The 16,583-nt window shown below is 48.7% G+C and overlaps 1 long non-coding RNA gene across 1 annotated transcript in view, besides 2 other annotated features; it reads right to left on the bottom strand.

The window, feature by feature from the left end:
* Positions 1-16,583, bottom strand: part of LINC01169 (long intergenic non-protein coding RNA 1169) — a 103,609-nt gene that overhangs the window by 76,408 nt on the left and 10,618 nt on the right. The window lies entirely within an intron of this gene.
* Positions 14,429-14,928: an enhancer, noted in NCBI's record as "H3K4me1 hESC enhancer chr15:66886801-66887300 (GRCh37/hg19 assembly coordinates)". NCBI's record gives its function as "activates a minimal SCP1, AML or CMV promoter by ChIP-STARR-seq in primed H9 embryonic stem cells {active_cell/tissue: H9 hESC(primed)}" and the evidence as "EXISTENCE:reporter gene assay evidence [ECO:0000049][PMID:30033119]".
* Positions 14,929-15,430: an enhancer, noted in NCBI's record as "H3K4me1 hESC enhancer chr15:66886299-66886800 (GRCh37/hg19 assembly coordinates)". NCBI's record gives its function as "activates a minimal SCP1, AML or CMV promoter by ChIP-STARR-seq in primed H9 embryonic stem cells {active_cell/tissue: H9 hESC(primed)}" and the evidence as "EXISTENCE:reporter gene assay evidence [ECO:0000049][PMID:30033119]".

Raw genomic sequence — 16,583 nt, 5'->3', positions numbered from 1 at the left:
CCTTGGCCTCCCAAAATGTTGTGATTACAGGCATGAGCGTCTGTGCCTGGCCAAGAGTGAATTATTTATTTTAAAAAATTATACCAAAAAAAGCATTTTTAGGAATTATTCTGAATAAAATGGGTGTTATTAATTTAAATCACCCATCACATATGGCAGAAATAGTACAAGAAACTGACACAAACTTCTATAGCCACCTGCGGGCTGGTGCCACAGGCCAGGTGATGGGGTAGAAAACTCCAAACACAGCTCTCTCTTTGGTTCCCAGGCCTCTCCACCCATCACAAACCAGCTGTGTATCTTTTGATAAGCCATTTAACTGCTGTGGGCCTAGTATCATTCATTTGTTCAATGAATGGGAGGGGTTTTTTTCTTTTTTTTTCTTTTGAGATACAGTCTCGCTCTGTTGCCCAGGCTAGAGTACAGTAGTGTGATCTTGGCTCACTGCAACCTCCACCTCCTGGGTTCAAATGATTCTCCTGTCTCAGCCTCCCAAGTAGCTGGGACTACAGGCGTGTATCACCACACCCAGCTAATTTTTATATTTTTAGTAGAGATGGGGTTTCACCATCTTGGACAGGCTGGTCTCAAACTCCTGACCTCAGGTGATCCACCTGCCTCGCCTCCCGAAGTGCTGGGATTACAGGCGTGAGCCACCTCAGCTGGCCTGGGAGTTTTATTTAATTATGTTTTCAACTTTTATTTTAGATTCCAGGGTACACGTGCAGGTTTGTTACCTGGCTATATTGCATGCTGCTGAGGTTTGGATTACCAATGATCCCATCCCACAGGTACTGAGCATAGTACCCAATAGTTAGTTTTTAACCCTTGCCTTCCCTCCTCCCTCCCCACTCTAGTAGTCTCCAGTTTCTTTTGTTCCCATCTTTATGTCCATGAGTATCCAATGTTTAACTCCCATTTATAAGTGAGAACATGCGGTATTTGGTTTTCTGTTCCTGCATTAATTCGCTTAGGATAATGGCCTCCAGCTGCATTCATGTTGCTGCAAAGGACATGATTTTTTTTTTTTATGGCTGCATCAGCAAATGTTAAAACAGGATGTCACTTTGGCGTTACTTCAGTTGATTCAATCATATTTTGCATTTAGAGAAACTGGAGTCAAGGGGAGATAGGACAGCTACCAGGGGCACTAAAATCTAAGACTTCTCTCCAGCTTACCTTCCCTCTCTCAGTTGTACCTTTTCTCCCTGCAGGGATCAGATTCTAGACCTGGCAAAGGACAGGCCCTCTGTATCTCTTGCTCTTCAGCTGCAGTTGGCAAAAAAAACCTTTCTCCCTTGAATCTCAATATGTGGACTAAGGACCTTCATAGTTGCCAGGGCTGTAGTATTAAAAATGCAGCTAGGCAAGGAACCAGGACTCCATAAAGGGAATAGTAATCATTGTTACCATGTGGATTTTAAAAATGAAAAAAAAAAAAATAGCTGGGCATGGTGGCTCACACCTATAGTGCCAGCACTTTGAGAGGCCGCGGCGGGAGGATCACTTGAGGCCAGGAGTTCAAGACCAGCCTTGGCAAAACAGTGAGACCTCATCTCTACAAAAAATTAAAAAATAAGCTGAGCATGGTGGTGCACACCTGTAGTCCCAACTACTCAGTACAGGGGGCTGAGGTGGGAGGATAGCTTGAGCCAAGGAGTTTGAGGCTGCAGTGAGCTGCGATCTCACCATTGCACTCCGACCTGGGTGACAGGGAGAGATCCTGTCTCAAAAAAAAAAAAAAAAGAAAAGAAACGAAACAGACAACTAAAGAGTAGGAAAAAATATAAAAGGTTCATAAATACAAGAGGTGTTCAACTTCACTTACATTTGAAGAAATGTAATACAACCCTCACCTACAGGATAAAGATTTTTTAAATGGTCAGGTAATGGTATGGGGAAATAAGCAAATTGCAGTTGGTGAACATGTAAATGTACAAAAATTTGAGCTTGGTAGTTTGATGATATCTATAAACGTTTTAAATATGTATATGCTTTGATTCAGTAATGCCACTTCTAGAAAGTTACCTTGCAGATAAACTCACACAACTGCACAAAAATTAGGTACAAAAGGCCATATCAACAATCTTTGCAATAATAGAAAACTGGAAATAAATCAAATGTGCATTAATGTGGTCAAAGAGTGACCACAGTGCTGACTTGGAAGAATATATATACTGCAGTATAGTATGTAGATTCTGATCTTATTTGTAGAAAAAAGCATATAAATGTTTGTGTGTGCAGAGTCCATATATGCATAGAAATGTCTGGAATGATGCACCAAAATATTCATATTAGACAATGAGATGGAGGGGAAGTGAGAGTTTTCACTTAAAAAAATCTTGGCTGGGCGCAGTGGCTCACACCTGTAATCCCAGCACTTTGGGAGGCCAAGGCAGGTGAATCACCTGAGATCAGGAGTTCGAGACCAGCTGGGTCAACATGGTGAAACCCCGTCTCTAGTAAAAATACAAAAAATTAGCTGGGCATGGTGGCAGGCGCCTGTAATCCCAGCTACTCGGGAAGCTGAGGCAGGAGAATCGCTTGAACCCAGGAGGCAGAAGTTGCAGTGAGCTGAGATCACACCATTGCACTCTAGCCTGGGCAACAAGAGCAAAACTCTGTCTCAAAAAAAAAAAAAAAAAAAAACCTCATATAATTCTGCAATGTTCACACAAAAGCACATTCTACTTTTGTTGTAAGTCATTTTTAATCCAATTGGGTTTTAGTTAGTATGGTTTCACTGGTTGCTGGAGACAGTGCTAGGTTTTTTTGTGGGTGGTGGGCAACATGCTAGAACTTTCTCAGAAGAACACATAAGAGTCTCATTTATTTTATTTTATTTATTTATCTTACTCTATTGCTCAGGCTGGAGTGCAGTGGCACAAACAAGGCTCACTGCAGCCTCGACCTCCCTGGGCTCAGGTGATTCTCCCACCTCAATCTCCTGAGTAGCTAGGACTACAGGCCCACGCCACCACACCCAGCTAATTTTTTGTAGAGATGAGTTTTTGCCACATTGCCCAGGCTGGTCTTAAACTCCTGGGCTCAAGCCATGTACCTGCCTCAGCCTCCCAAAGTGTTACAGGTGTGGGCCACCATGCCTGGATTTTTTTTTTTTTTTTTGAGACAGGGTCTCACTCTGTCTCCCAGGCTAGAAGTGCAGTTCTGCAATCACCACTTACTGCAGCCCTGACCTCCCCAGCTCAAGTGATCCTCCCACCTCAGCCTGCCAAGTAGCTGGGACCACAGATAGCATCATCACACCTGGCTAAATTTTTTTTTCTAATTTTCAGTAGAGACACAGTCTCACTATATTACCCAGGCTAGTCTCGAACTCCTGGGTTCAAGTGATTCTCCCGCCTTGGCCTCCCAAAGTGCTGGGATTACAAGCATGAGCCACTGTGTCTGGCCAATATGTCTTTATATCAGGCTATAGAATGAAAGTAATTGTCAGCTTACTCTCAGAAGAAAATTAGGACAAGAGACCAAAGAAAGGGCAGTGGTGTTAAGTTTAGTATTTAATGGCTTATAATATCATGGAGCTACATGAAAGCCCCACCATGTCACCTCGCTATCACCCCGAGGTTCAGGGGGCTGTGAAGGTTTCAACCCAGGTCCAAGGGGTGCAGCAGAGCCTCAACTAGAGATGGAATGTCTTTTCCCCAAAGCTTCAACCAGCGGTTCTGCTTGGACCCAGATGACATTGTATCCTAGAAGTCTTATCATTTGCTCAGTTTGCAAACTGAGAAGGAGCACACACCTGCAGCGCCTCCTTCTACAGGTGAAGGCAGAAGGGCTGGGGATGGGAGGAGAGATGCTTGTTCCTGTGGGTGGCAGCAGAAAGTTGCCGCAGTCACCAGCTGCCAGAGGATGGGTCTGGGTCTCACTATAGGATGAGTGCCCACCTGCCATGCTCCCATGCCACGGCAGCTCCTCTTGGTCCCTGTCAGACCTCTTGGGCTTCTCGTGTCCCTCCCTCCTCCCCCATCAGACACTCTTCTCTAGACAGTGTGGGGCATGCTTCCCATGGAGGCACAGGGCGTCGGAGCCGGGCTGAGACAAAGACCTCCTCAGCCAATCCTCTCATTTTATAGTTGGGAAAACAGGCCCAGAGAGGAGAAGGAACTCACCCAAGGTCATCCAGAGAGTTTATGGCAGAACTAAAACCGGGTCTTTGGGAAAATGTCACACAGCCCCTCCCCACCCATTCCCTACACCTTACTAGATATGTCTGGCTGCGCCTCCCCTTCCCCAGTGCCCCATTTGTTATCCAACAGATATTTTTGTTCTTTTTTTGTTGCTGTTGTTTTTGAGACAGAGTCTCACTCCATCTCCCAGGCTAGAGTGCAGTGGTGCGATCTCGGCTCACTGCAACATCTGCCTCCCAGGTTCAAATAATTATCGTGCCTCAGCCTCCCAAGTAGCTGGGATTACAGGTGTGCACCACCACGCCCAGCTAATTTTTGTAATTTGTAGAGACAGGATTTCGCCATATTGGCCAGGGCTGTCCTGGCCTCAAGTGATCCACTTGCCTTGGCCTCCCAAAGTGCTGGGATTAAAGGCATAAGCCACCATGCCCGGCCTCGACAGATATTTCTTGAGCACCTACTACATGCCAGGTTCTGTTCTAGGCCCTGATGATACAGGAATGAACAAAACAGACACAACTCCTACTCTTGTGGAACTCACATTCTAACTTAATTACATGACCTACCTGTTACCTTTCTAAAGGAGACACGCTGTCCCGCTGCAGCCAGGAAGCCCTGGTCAGCACATGGACACTGCCCATGTCTCTGCCCTGCAGGAGAGAGGGCCTCGACCCTGGAGGAGGGGCATCAGCCAAGAATAGGCAGCAAGGGCTCCCTGTGCCCAGCTCTATGGGAATTACAGACCCCTGCCCATGAGGATCATCTCCTTTGATTCTCAGAACCACCCTACACACCAGGTACTCACATCCCCACTTTACAAGCAAGGAAATGAAGGCCCAGCAACATTGGGCAAGTAAGTAGCAGGACTAGGCCTTCTGCTTCCTCAGACAGGGGGTCCTGGGCCCTGCTCAGGCAGAGCAGAGCTCGGGGGCAAGAGGAAATAGGGGGCATTTTCTGTCTCCTTTTGGAGAAGAGAATGGCGGTCTCTGTTGGCTTTTTCTCAGGGTGTTCAGAGAAGTTTGACCTGCCCACCTTGCCTGGGGGCTGCCAGAATGACCAGTCAGCCATGGTGCACGAGCTATTTCCCGTCTGGGGATTCTGGTACCCAGAGCAGGGTCCCTAACTGTGAAGCGGGTACCAACCCTTTTTGTGATGCTTAATTAAAACCATGAGCCCTTTCCCTAGAAATATTCTACATGTCTCCCTCACACCACTTTGCATACAAATTCCCTGAAGCCCATCCTTGCCCCACTCTGGGCAGGACTAGACCTTCTGGGGGACCGTCTCCTAATGGGAGGAGGAATCACACTGTGGAGTTGAAAGGTCAGCACACCAATCCCCACCGCCACCCTGCCCTGAGAGTCTCTCCTGCCCCTCCTGGGAACCACTCATTGAGGGGTCTGCAGACTGCATCCCAGGAGGCATCGCTGGCAACATGGTGCTGCCCAGACGGGCTGTGAGCGCCCCCTGGGGGCGGCTTGTCCACATGTCCCAGGAAACACTATACCCAACCCATCCCCACCCCACCCCCAGAGTTAAACTCGAGGCCAACATTTGGACAAGAAAAGATGTCATTTAAAATATTAAGTTAAAATGGCCACAGATGGCTGTTACAATGCAAACTCTGGCCCAAACGTTAGGAGAAACCCTGGAGGTGGGAACAGTGTGGAGGGTTGAAGCTGGTCTCATGGAGGAGTCTCATCCCCCAAAACCAACTCCCAAGGCCTGGTCTGCCTAGCACCCTGTCCCAAGCACAAAGACGAAGGGCCGTTGACCCTGTCCTCCCCTTACAGGCCAGCCATACCAGGCTGGGGGAGGGAGAGAGAGAAGGAAGGAGAGAGGTAAGAAAACCAGCGAATCCCAGTTCACCCAGGATGTCCCAGTTTTATTTTTTTTGTTTTATTTTATTTTATTTTATGTTGAGACAGGGTCTTGCTTGTCACTGAGGCTGCAGTGCAGTGGCATGATCTCGGCTCCCTGCAGCCTTGACCTCCCTGGCTTAAGCAAACCTCCCACCTCAGCCTTCCAAGTAGCTGGGACCAAAGATGCATGCCACCAAGCCTGGCTAATTTTTGTATTTTTTACAGAGATGGGTTTTTTCATGTTGCCCAGGCTGATCTTGATCTCCTGGGCTCAAGCAATCTTCTGCCTTGGCCTCCCAGAGTGCTGGGATTATAGAGGTGAGCCCCCTTGCCCGGGCTATGTCTGTTTTAGGACTGAAAGTTCATCTTCCCAGGAACCACCCCACTCCAGTCCTGGGCAAACCAGCCTGCCCCTTCTCCCTGCGTTGACTGGTGAAAGTGTCATGAGCGGCATAAGCTCAGACATAACCAGGTCCACACACATTGTCTTTCCACAAGGTCAGACTTTTACTGATGTTGTTTCAATCATAAAAGCCACGAGCACCATGGAGTTCCCAAGGAGGCAATTCTTAGCACTCTCGGTTCACTTGGTAGAGCCATGTGCACACAGGCTCAAGCCATTCAACAAGTCAGTCCATACTGAAAACTATACACTGTAGTATATTTCACATATAAATGTTATAGATTAAAATTTCACACCGAACAGTAACATTGAACATCAAAAGAAAAGGGGAGAGGCTAGGCACGGTAGCTTACACCTGTAATCCCAGCACTTTGGGAGGCCAAGGCAGGCAGATCATGAGGTCAGGAGTTTGAGACCACCCTGACCAACACGGTGAAACCCTGTCTTTGCTAAAAATACAAAAATTAGCCTAGTGTGGTGGCGGTTGCCTGTAATCCCAGCTACTTGGGAGGCTGGGGCACGAGAATCGTTTGAACCTGGGAGGTAGATGCTGCAGTGAGCCAACATCATGTCTCTGCACTCCAGCCTGGGCGACAGAGCGAGACTCTATCTCAAAAAAAAAAAAAAAAAGATGTCGGGCGTGGTGTCTCACACCTGTAATCCCAGCACTTTGGGAGGCTGAGGCGGGCAGATGATCTGAGGTCAGGATTTCGAGACCAGCCTAGCCAACATGGCGAAACACCGTCTCTACTAAAAAAGCAAAAATTAGCTGGGCGTGGTGGGTGCGCCTGTAATCCCAGCTACTTGGGAAGTTGAGGCACAAGAATTGCTTGAACCCAAGAGGCAGAGGTTGCAGTGAGCCGAGATGGTACCACTGCACTCCAGCCTGGGTGACAGAGCAAGACTTCATCTCAAAAAAAAAAAAAAAAAAAAAAGAAAAAAAGAAAAAAAAGAAAAGAAAAGGAGAGAGGAAAAAGGGTTAATGAATCAGTCCTGGTCTAATCCGGATAGTCATTAACATCTTGCAAGGAAGAGTCTTTGATTTGGGCAGAGCCTTCAGCGGCAGATGCTGGGTGCTGATCCCAAGTGACAGCAAGACAGGGTCTGTCAAGACGGCAGGGTCTAGGTGATGAAATCTTGCTCATTTTATGGTCCTTGAGTCCTCTGTTGAGGATTGATAGTAAAGGGTGATGCCCTTATCTGTTTGGGTGTTATCTCTACTGATTAGGCAAATATCTGGACCCTGTTGGTTTGATGCCTTTTGAAATGTAAGGTGGAGTCCTTTTCTAAGATGGAGTCACTTATGCCAAGGTGCTCTATACAAAAAGTGAAGGCTTCCAGAGCCTGGTGGGGCACAGACCCCCATGGCCCTGGGAGATTGAGGCTGACTAATGATGTCAGAGCAATATGTGAACTGTCCACAAGAAAGAGAATGGAAACCACCTGCATGCTAAGAGACCCTCAGAACAGTGCCCCCACCCCCACCCCATCAGCAGAGCAGCCAGGGACCAGAGTGGGTGCTCTTCCCATGCCAGTGGTCTGTCCCTAGAAGTCCAGAGGAAAACCTCCCCACTTTCCTTGCTGACCCATCATCCCTCAGGCTGCAGGGAGGGGAGATCATGGAAACCATCAATATGAAATCTGAGATGTCCTGGGAAGCTGCTGAACCCAAGGGTCCAGGAACCAAGGAGAGCTGCACCCAAAGTGAACCCCCTAGGACAGCAGGAGATCTTGAGGGAGAATTGGTGGGGATGGGGTTGGGTGGGCACATGTCTAGACAGGGCTATGAACACTTCACAGAAGTGTCTGGGTGCCACCAATGCCCAAGCAGCAGAATGACTCTGGGGTCCCTAGAAATGGCACTATATATAGTCAGGAGAGAGCCACCTGGTTTAACTGAGACCACTTCTTGGGGCAAAGGGGAGTAATTCAAACCACCTGAGATTGAGTTTGTGCCATTTCCCTCTTCTGCTTCCCATCCTCCAAGAGGGCTTGAACTGACACTAAGTAAAATGATAGAAAAATAAAGTTCTAGTTCTCACTCACCTAAGTCAGTGGGCTGATGCTCCTGCTACTTTGCCAGGCTCACTCCCTGAAATTCTCCCTCCCTGTTCCCAAACTCTGAGATACAAGGTTCTGGAGGAAGGGGAGAGACACTGAAGGAAAGATGAGCTCCCATCAGGAGGTGCAGGTGCATCACTGTCATGGGGTTGGAACATGGCTCTTCCACTTGCCAGCCACAAGTGTCTACCAAGCTCACAACGCCTCTGAACCTGGCTCTTCCCATCTGTAAAATAGGAAGAACGAGCCCCACCTCGGAGAGCTGTGAATGGGCTGGTTCAGATACAGTGTGGCGCACTCCCTCACCCTGAGTCCGTCTTCAGTTTCTCCCTCCACCAGTGGCCTCCATTTGCCCATCTGTACCATGGGAGGCTGCACCAGCTGGTCACCGAGGTCACCTTCTAGCTGTATGGTTAGTTGGCCAGGCCAGGCTGCCCTTCTGTTACCAACACAGTGTTCCAGTCTGAAACAGTGACTTCTGCCAAGAGCACAGCTCGAGCTCAGGAGGGAGGGCTGCACCTCAGCCCTGACTACATCCTGCTGAAAGCTCCAGCTGGCCATGACCAGGCCAGTACCCACTGCACACCTGTCACAATGAATGACCCTTTATACCAGGCCTTTCCTAGAGACCCCAGCCATCAGCCCAGTGCCCCAGACAGCCCCCTGCACCTCCCTCAGTCTGGGATCCCCTTCCCACACCCACACACATTTTATAAGTGACTGAGGGGAGGGTGCTAGTGTCTGAAGCCACAGGTTAACCGGGTTGCCTGCCCAGTCGCAATGTGCAAGTGTATGAGGGGCTCCCTGCCTGGAAGTCAGGCCTCCAAGTGGATGGAATCCGGCCTCTGCAGCCCCTTCTCCCAGGACTCTCCTCAGAGCCACTCAGAGCCCGGGCATTCCAAGGAGAAGCAGGTAGATATGGGCCTTTGCACCTGCGGCGCTCACCTTGTTCTGGGGCAAGGAGAGAAAGGGGGCATGAAAAAGGGAGGGATGGAAGGAGGTGCTGAAAGGAAAAGATAGGACTCCCAGGTCCCCCTCCTAGAAACTTTCCTGCTGCCCATAACGGGAAGGGGCCGCCCCTAGCCAGGACTCCACAGGGTTCCAGAGCATAGCTTTCCTGTTCCAAGCTGTGCTGACAAGAGCCCACTCCCCTGTCCTCCAGGGTAATGAGCTGCCTGCAACGCACGTGCATGCACGCACACACACACACACACACACATGCCTGATGCAGACACCTGGTTCTCTTCTAAGGACCCATGTCAAAACCTCTCCTTTTATAACCCTTGTACACAAAGAGCTGCCCATTCCCCGGTTCCTGGACAAGACTTCGTTGAGTCCTGTATGCCCAGGACTGTGAGCATACACCAAGCTTCTAACAGGTATAATCTCCCTTCACGTCTACCCTGGGAAAGCAAAAAGAAAAGAAAACCCTCGCAAGTTTAATCCCCACAGGACCTTCTATTACACCTACCTTTTTGGGGGTGAAGGGTTGGGGGTTAGGGTTAGGCAGGGCCTGAGCTGTTGCAGTACAGGGGCCACCTGCCATGTGTGGCTTCTGGGAACCTGAGGTTGGCTCCCGCAAATGGCAATGTGCTGTGAGCATAAACCACACACCAGATCTCAAAGACTTGGTAGAAAAAAGCATGAAATATCTCATTAATGATGTTATATCAATTACATGTTGAAATAACATTTGAAATATAATGGGTTCCACGATGTATATTATTAAAATTAATCCTATTTTTACTTTTTAAATGTGGCAGGCCAGGCGCAGTGGCTCACGCCTGTAATCCCAGCACTCTGGGAGGCCTAGGTGGGCAGATCCACTTGAGGTCAGGAGTTCAAGACCAGCCTGGCCAACATGGTGAAACCCCATCTCTACTAAAAATAAAAAATTAGCCAGGCATGGTGGTGGGCACCTGTAGTCCCAGCTACTCAGGAGGCTGAGGCAGGAGAATCACTCAAACCTGGGAGGAGGAGGTTGCAGTGAGCCGAGATCATGCCATTGCACCCCAGCCTGGGTGACAGAGTGAGACTCTGTCTCAAAAAAAAATAAATAAATATGGCTACTAAAAATTCCACATGTGGCTCGCATTATATTTCTATTGGCCAGCCCTAGGTTACACTATTCCCTCCCCTCCCAGCACTCTGAGGGCAGTAAGCGGCAGTTGGATGGGAAGGCAGCCAGAGACAGACCATGAGAGGCCTTGAATGCCAGGCTGAGGGGTCTGGAGGTGCCCTCCGGGCGATTGGGGGCCACAGAACTGGGGTGTGGTTCTCATCAGGCCAGCTCCATGTGCTCATCATCTGGAAGACAGCTCCCAGGCCGGCCCACTGGAGCGAAGAGATGGGATCAGAAAGATGGTAACTTCCGGTGGGAAAGGGAGACAGGAATGGCAGGCAGAGAGAGCTATCTGAGCAAAAGTTCAGAGGCAGCAGAGTGGGCGTGCTGGGGGACTAGAGAGGAAGGAAACAGAGACAGGTTCAGAGAGTGGAGGAAGAAAAGAGGGTAGGGAAGAGGAGATCAGCCAAAACTAAAGAACAGAGAGGAGATCAGAGACGCTATCTTGGAAGGAAGTGGTCAGCACAGTCTACCTCATCGGAGCCTTCCACCCTCAGGCTTTCAAGAAAATCTCCCAACCCCATTCCTACCACAGGAAGGCAGGCCCAGGTATATGTCAGCCTCCTCATCCCTCTCTGAGCCCAGCGCCCCTGACGCCACCTCAGCTGCCTGTGTCAGAGGCTGGCCCAGAGGCAGGCTTGAAACGCGTGGAGGACAGAGAGGAAGAGCGGCAGCCTTGGGGCAAAACTTTGCCCCTCTTCCTACCCCAAGATGACCCCAGTTCCTGGCCCAACTTAGGAGGGTCAGGCTCTTGAGAAGACCTGCTTCTAATTTAGAAGGAGCCGGATCTTCAAAGGTCTTGGACTTATCAGGGAACAGAGCCCAGGGGTCCACCCCTTCCTCCTTTATTCTGGAAATAGGCACCCAGGCAGTGGGGACAGGTGTTAGCATCATGGCCACTGGCCTGCGGGAGGCAAAGATCCAGACAGATGAAGTCATTTGTGCGAGAGGTGCCTTTTCTGCCTATCAGAGAATTTGAGGGGATAGGGGACTTGTCCACAAACTATGGATCGAAGGCCACAAGGCCACACTGCCTATTTTTGTACAACTAAGAACAAATGTGAGCTAAGAACAGTTTCACTTTTTTTTTTCCCCCTGTGACAGAGCGAGACTCTGTCTGGAGTGCAGTGACCTGATCTCGGCTCACTGCAACCTCCATCTCCCGGGTTCAAGTGATTCTCCTGTCTCAGCCTCCTGAGTAGCTGGGATTACAGGCATGCAGCACCATGCCCGGCTAATTTTTGTATTTTTAGTAGAGACAGGGTTTTACCATGTTGGCCAGGCTGGTTTCAAGCTCCTGGCCCTGATTACATCCTGCTGAAAGCTCCGGCTGGCCACAACCAGAAAACGGGGTTTCACCATGTTAGCCAGGCTGGTCTCGAACTCCTGACCTCAGGTGATCCACCTGCCTTGGCCTCCCAAAGTGCTGGGATCATAGGTGTGAGCCACCGCGCCTGGCCACTTCATGCTTTTTCACATAGTATTCCATTGCATAAATACAGATGACTCTTGAACAACCTGGGGGTTGGGGTGCTGATCCCCTGCACAGTCAAAAATCCATGTATAACTTTTGACTACCCCAAAACTTAACTACTAATAATCTACTAGAAACCTAGCAATAACATAGCCAATTGACACATATTTAGTATATGTATTATATACTGTCTTCTCACAATAAAGTAACCTAAAGAAAATAAAATATTATTAAGAAAATCCTGGCCGAGCGTGGTGGCTCACACCTGTTATGCCAGCACTTTGAGAGGCTGAGGTGGGCAGATCACCTGAGGTCAGGAGTTCAAGACCAGCCTGACCAACATGGAGAAACCCTGAGCCGGGCCTGGTGGCAGACGCCTTTAATTCCAGCTACTTAGGAGGCTGAGGCAGGAGAATCACTTGAACCCGGGAGGCAGAGGTTGTGGTGAGCCGAGACTGCACCATTGCACTCCAGCCTGGGCAAGAAGAGTGAAATTCCATCTGAAAAAAAAAAAAAAAGAAAAAGAAAAGAAAAAAGAAAATCCTAAGGAGGCCAGGTGCAGTGGCTCATACCCGTAATCCCAGCACTTTGGGAAGCCAAGACGGGTGGATCATTTGAAGCCAGGAGTTCGAGACCAGCCTGGCCAACGTGACAAGACCCCCTCTCTACTAAAAATACAAAAATTAGCTGGATGTGGTGGTGCACGCCTGTAGTCCCAGCTACTTGGGAGGTTGAGGCGGAAGGATCACTTGAGCCTGGGAGGCAGAGGCTGCAGTGAGCCAAGATCGTGCCATAGCACTCCAGCCTGGGCAACAGAATGAGACACTGTCTAAAAAAAAAGAAAAAAAAACAAAAAAAAAAACGAAAGAAAAGAGAAAATGCATTGACAGTACTGAACTGTATTTATCAATATGAATACCATAAGTTTGCGATGTCTGTTTACAAGATGAATCATCTATTTGAATCATGGCAGCAACTGCAGCTGCAGACCTCAATCTGCAGTACATATCAAGCAATTCAGCTTTTCCTTGTAATGTCATGACTTTTCTCTGCTTCTTGGGAGCACCTCCAGCATCACTAGTGGCACTTCATGTGGGTCCCATTATGTGATTCAAGGTTTATGGTATTGCACTAAACGCAATTGAAAACACACCAGAGCTGTGAGAGATCGCTTTGTCTGCCACATGCAATTTACTGGAGACACAACTGCTCATGCAGAGATGATTAGCGTCATTCAGTGATCTAAGCAGATACGTGCAATAGTTGAGCTCCCTGCAATAGCAACAGGAGGTCGCTATGAAATTATTACAGTAGTAGTGTGCATACCAGAGTTAATTTTATGCAGTTATGATTTAATACTGCATCTTTACATCTGTTTACATTTCTCTTAACTGTGAATGGTGCCATATATGATCTTAAGTATATGTGTAAGTTTTGATAAATTTTAACTTCTCATAATGGATATGTGTACATTTTATGGTAGTAAATGATAAAATACACTAGTATCTACATATATTTTAGGCATTCATGACATACCTTTTTCTTAATTTTTTTTCAATATTTCTAGGCTACACATACAATTCATCTGTGAGTTTTTTCAAATTGTGGCAAAACTCCAATAAAAGTTTCAATATATTCATTGAAAAGAATCCATGTATAGGTGGACTTCACAGTTCAAACTCATGTTACCCAAGGATCAACTGTATATCCTATTTACCTAGTCCCCTACTGGTGGACATTTGGGCTGTTTCCAATCTTTTGCATTTACAAAATTAATGCTGCAGTGAATAGCCTTGTGTATTTGTTGCTTCACACATAAGTGAGTATATCTGTAGAATAAATTCCTACAGAGGTATGTGTGTTTGTAGTTTTGATTAATAATGCCAAATAGTCTACCATAGAGGCTGATCCAATTTACAATTTCACCAGCAATGCATGAGAACAGAGCCAGGATTTGAATTAAGAACCATCTGGTTGCAAAGCCAGATCTCCTGCTGCTGCACCATGGCCATCACTGCCGGCACCAGAAAGGTTTTTCTGATAACTTAGGCCACCTTCAAGTCTTGAGTCCTCCTGCTTACCTGCCTGCCTTCTTCCCTAGGAGTGTGCAGCCCTACCAAATGGTCCCTATGTTTGAGACAATCTCTGCTTCCCCTGGAATCCTGTCCACCCACAGTCAGTCCTAACTGATTTCCAACCATCTAGCAGCTCTCCCCATGTTTCCTGGGCTTACACTTTCCCCTCCAATGCCCTCGAGGACAGAGATGGTGCCACATGTCTGCAGTAGGACTGGGGCCTGGTGCCTGCTAAGTGGGATGGACTTGATAAATGTGTGCTAAATAAGTGTGCCAAACGTTCATGCCAGATACACAGATGTTGTCCCTGATTCCGCCTTCTCCTTCGTCCTCAGTATTTAATACCAAATCCTGTGGATCCTACCTTCTCCGTATTTCCAGAATCTTCCCAGTTGTTTCATCTGGCTGCCACCTCCTAGTCTGGACCACCATAATCTCTCACCTGGAATATCGCAGTGGCCTCTTGCCTGGTGTCCCGGCCTCCACATTCACTCTCTCTCACTTTGTGGACAAAACTGCTAACTGTCCTCCAATACCCATTTTCTCCTTCCGTTAGCCACAGAACCCTGTGTTTTGGCTGGGTCCATGGCCACTAGCTAAAGCTCACCTTTTCCAGCCTGCTTCACAGCTAGGTGGCACCATGTGACTGAGCTCCATCATCGTGGGCAGGAGCACTTGGGACAGAGGCAACTTCCGGGCTGTGCCCTAAAAGGGGATGCGCACACCTCCGCTCCTGCTTCTACCCTTCCCACGGGCCGGGACCTGACAAACAGCCACCTCAGACCTCAAGACGGAGGCGGGGCGTTGACAATGGCAGAGCAGCAAAGTAGGAGCTTAGGGGGCCTCTGGGCAAAGGGGCAGGGCTGGGGGGATGGGGTGCCTGGCAGGGACCCTCCAAACAGGACCCCTGGCTGTGAGCACCAGTGACCTTGCCTCAGTACCTGAAATCCAGCCAGCCAGCCGGCCTGCTAGTCATTTCTGAGGATACGAGGGATACAGCAGGAGGCAAGACAAAATGTCTTTTGATTTAGAAATTTCTTGGAAGTTGACTTGGTGCTCAGCCATTGAAATGTCAGTCTCCTGGGTTCCTGCTTCACACATATGTGCAAAAGCAAGCACACACACATGTACATTCACACATGCGTGTGTTCATGCCTGGTTACTCTGTGCTAAGATAGAATGCGGCCTTTTCCCCTTCTTCCATCCTCACTCTGCTTTCAGACGGCCTGAATTCCTCTTCCCTGAGGTCTGCAGCCTCCTGCTCTCAGTAGACAGGCACCAGGTTCTCCATGATCCTTTCTACCAGGTCAGCTCTCTACTACCTGGGCTGAAGGAATGGCAGCCAAGATGGTCCCCAGAGGGAGGATCAGCACGCATGCGTGGCACGCCTGTGCAGATATCCCCTTTAATCTGCAACCATGAGTGTCTACTATGGGGTAGCTGCTTAGGTGGACCTTACAGGACCCACAAACAGGCAGAAGCAGCAGCCCCTACTCTCAGGAGGGAAGGAGGCATTGGTTAGTGGCACTGGTGACACTGTGTCATTCAGAGCTTCGATGTGTGTATGAACCATCATGTTTCCCAGGCTGTGGTCCCTTCCTGCCAAGGCCACCTGGCCAGTCCTCTGCCAAGTTTCCCTAAGTATGTCTGGAGATTCCCAAAGCGTATCTCATAAAGACTCTTATGTAACAGGAAAGAACAGCTCATAAACATGAATTTATTCCACTGTTAAAAAATGTTCTTCTCCCTTGGCTGGAATCAAGTCCCCTCTCCCTTGACAACCAAGGCTCCCTGTTGTGCCCAGGTGACCCCTCCCCTCTGAGAGCCAACTTTGTCCTGGGCCACCTCCTGGGCCTGCCTCTCTTCCTGAGAGTGACTCCTATCCAGAGCCTTTTCTGACCCACAGACAGATGGCCTCCCCATGTCCTCCTCTATAGCTCTCTGCACTCCAACCAGGCTGCATCATACTAGGGCCCCCACGACAATGAGGTAACCATCCCAATTTAACCCATAGGGAGCCTGGGCTCTGAGTGACTATAGGTCTCCCCCTCAGTCACACAGCGAGGCACGGCAGAGGCCGGGATCCCAGCGCGCCTCTTCCCACCATGCTCACCTGCCAGCATCATCTATTCACTCATCAGGCATCTGTAGGGCAGGGTGGAAGGACGGTTTCTTAACACTGGGGAACTGGAGAGGATATGTGAGTTGGGGTGGCAGTAGGCAGTGGAATAGGACTGGAATTAAAGATGTGGATAAAGGAGTCATTTGGAGTAGCAGGAAGAGAAAGGGAAGAGGTTAGAGCCTTAGAATGGCAACTGCAAAACAGAAGACTCTATTTTGGCCTCGATTTTCTCAAGTGTGAAGAGTTGCAGGGGTCAAAGCTGGAATTTGCAAGACTTCAATCAATTGCTTCCTCAGGCAACTTACCCTAGCAG

Source organism: Homo sapiens, chromosome 15, assembly GCF_000001405.40.
Source record: "Homo sapiens chromosome 15, GRCh38.p14 Primary Assembly".
Taxonomy (NCBI): Eukaryota; Metazoa; Chordata; class Mammalia; order Primates; family Hominidae; genus Homo; species Homo sapiens.
Note: the sequence above shows the minus strand (reverse complement) of the source record. Positions and strands in the feature narration are given on the sequence as shown.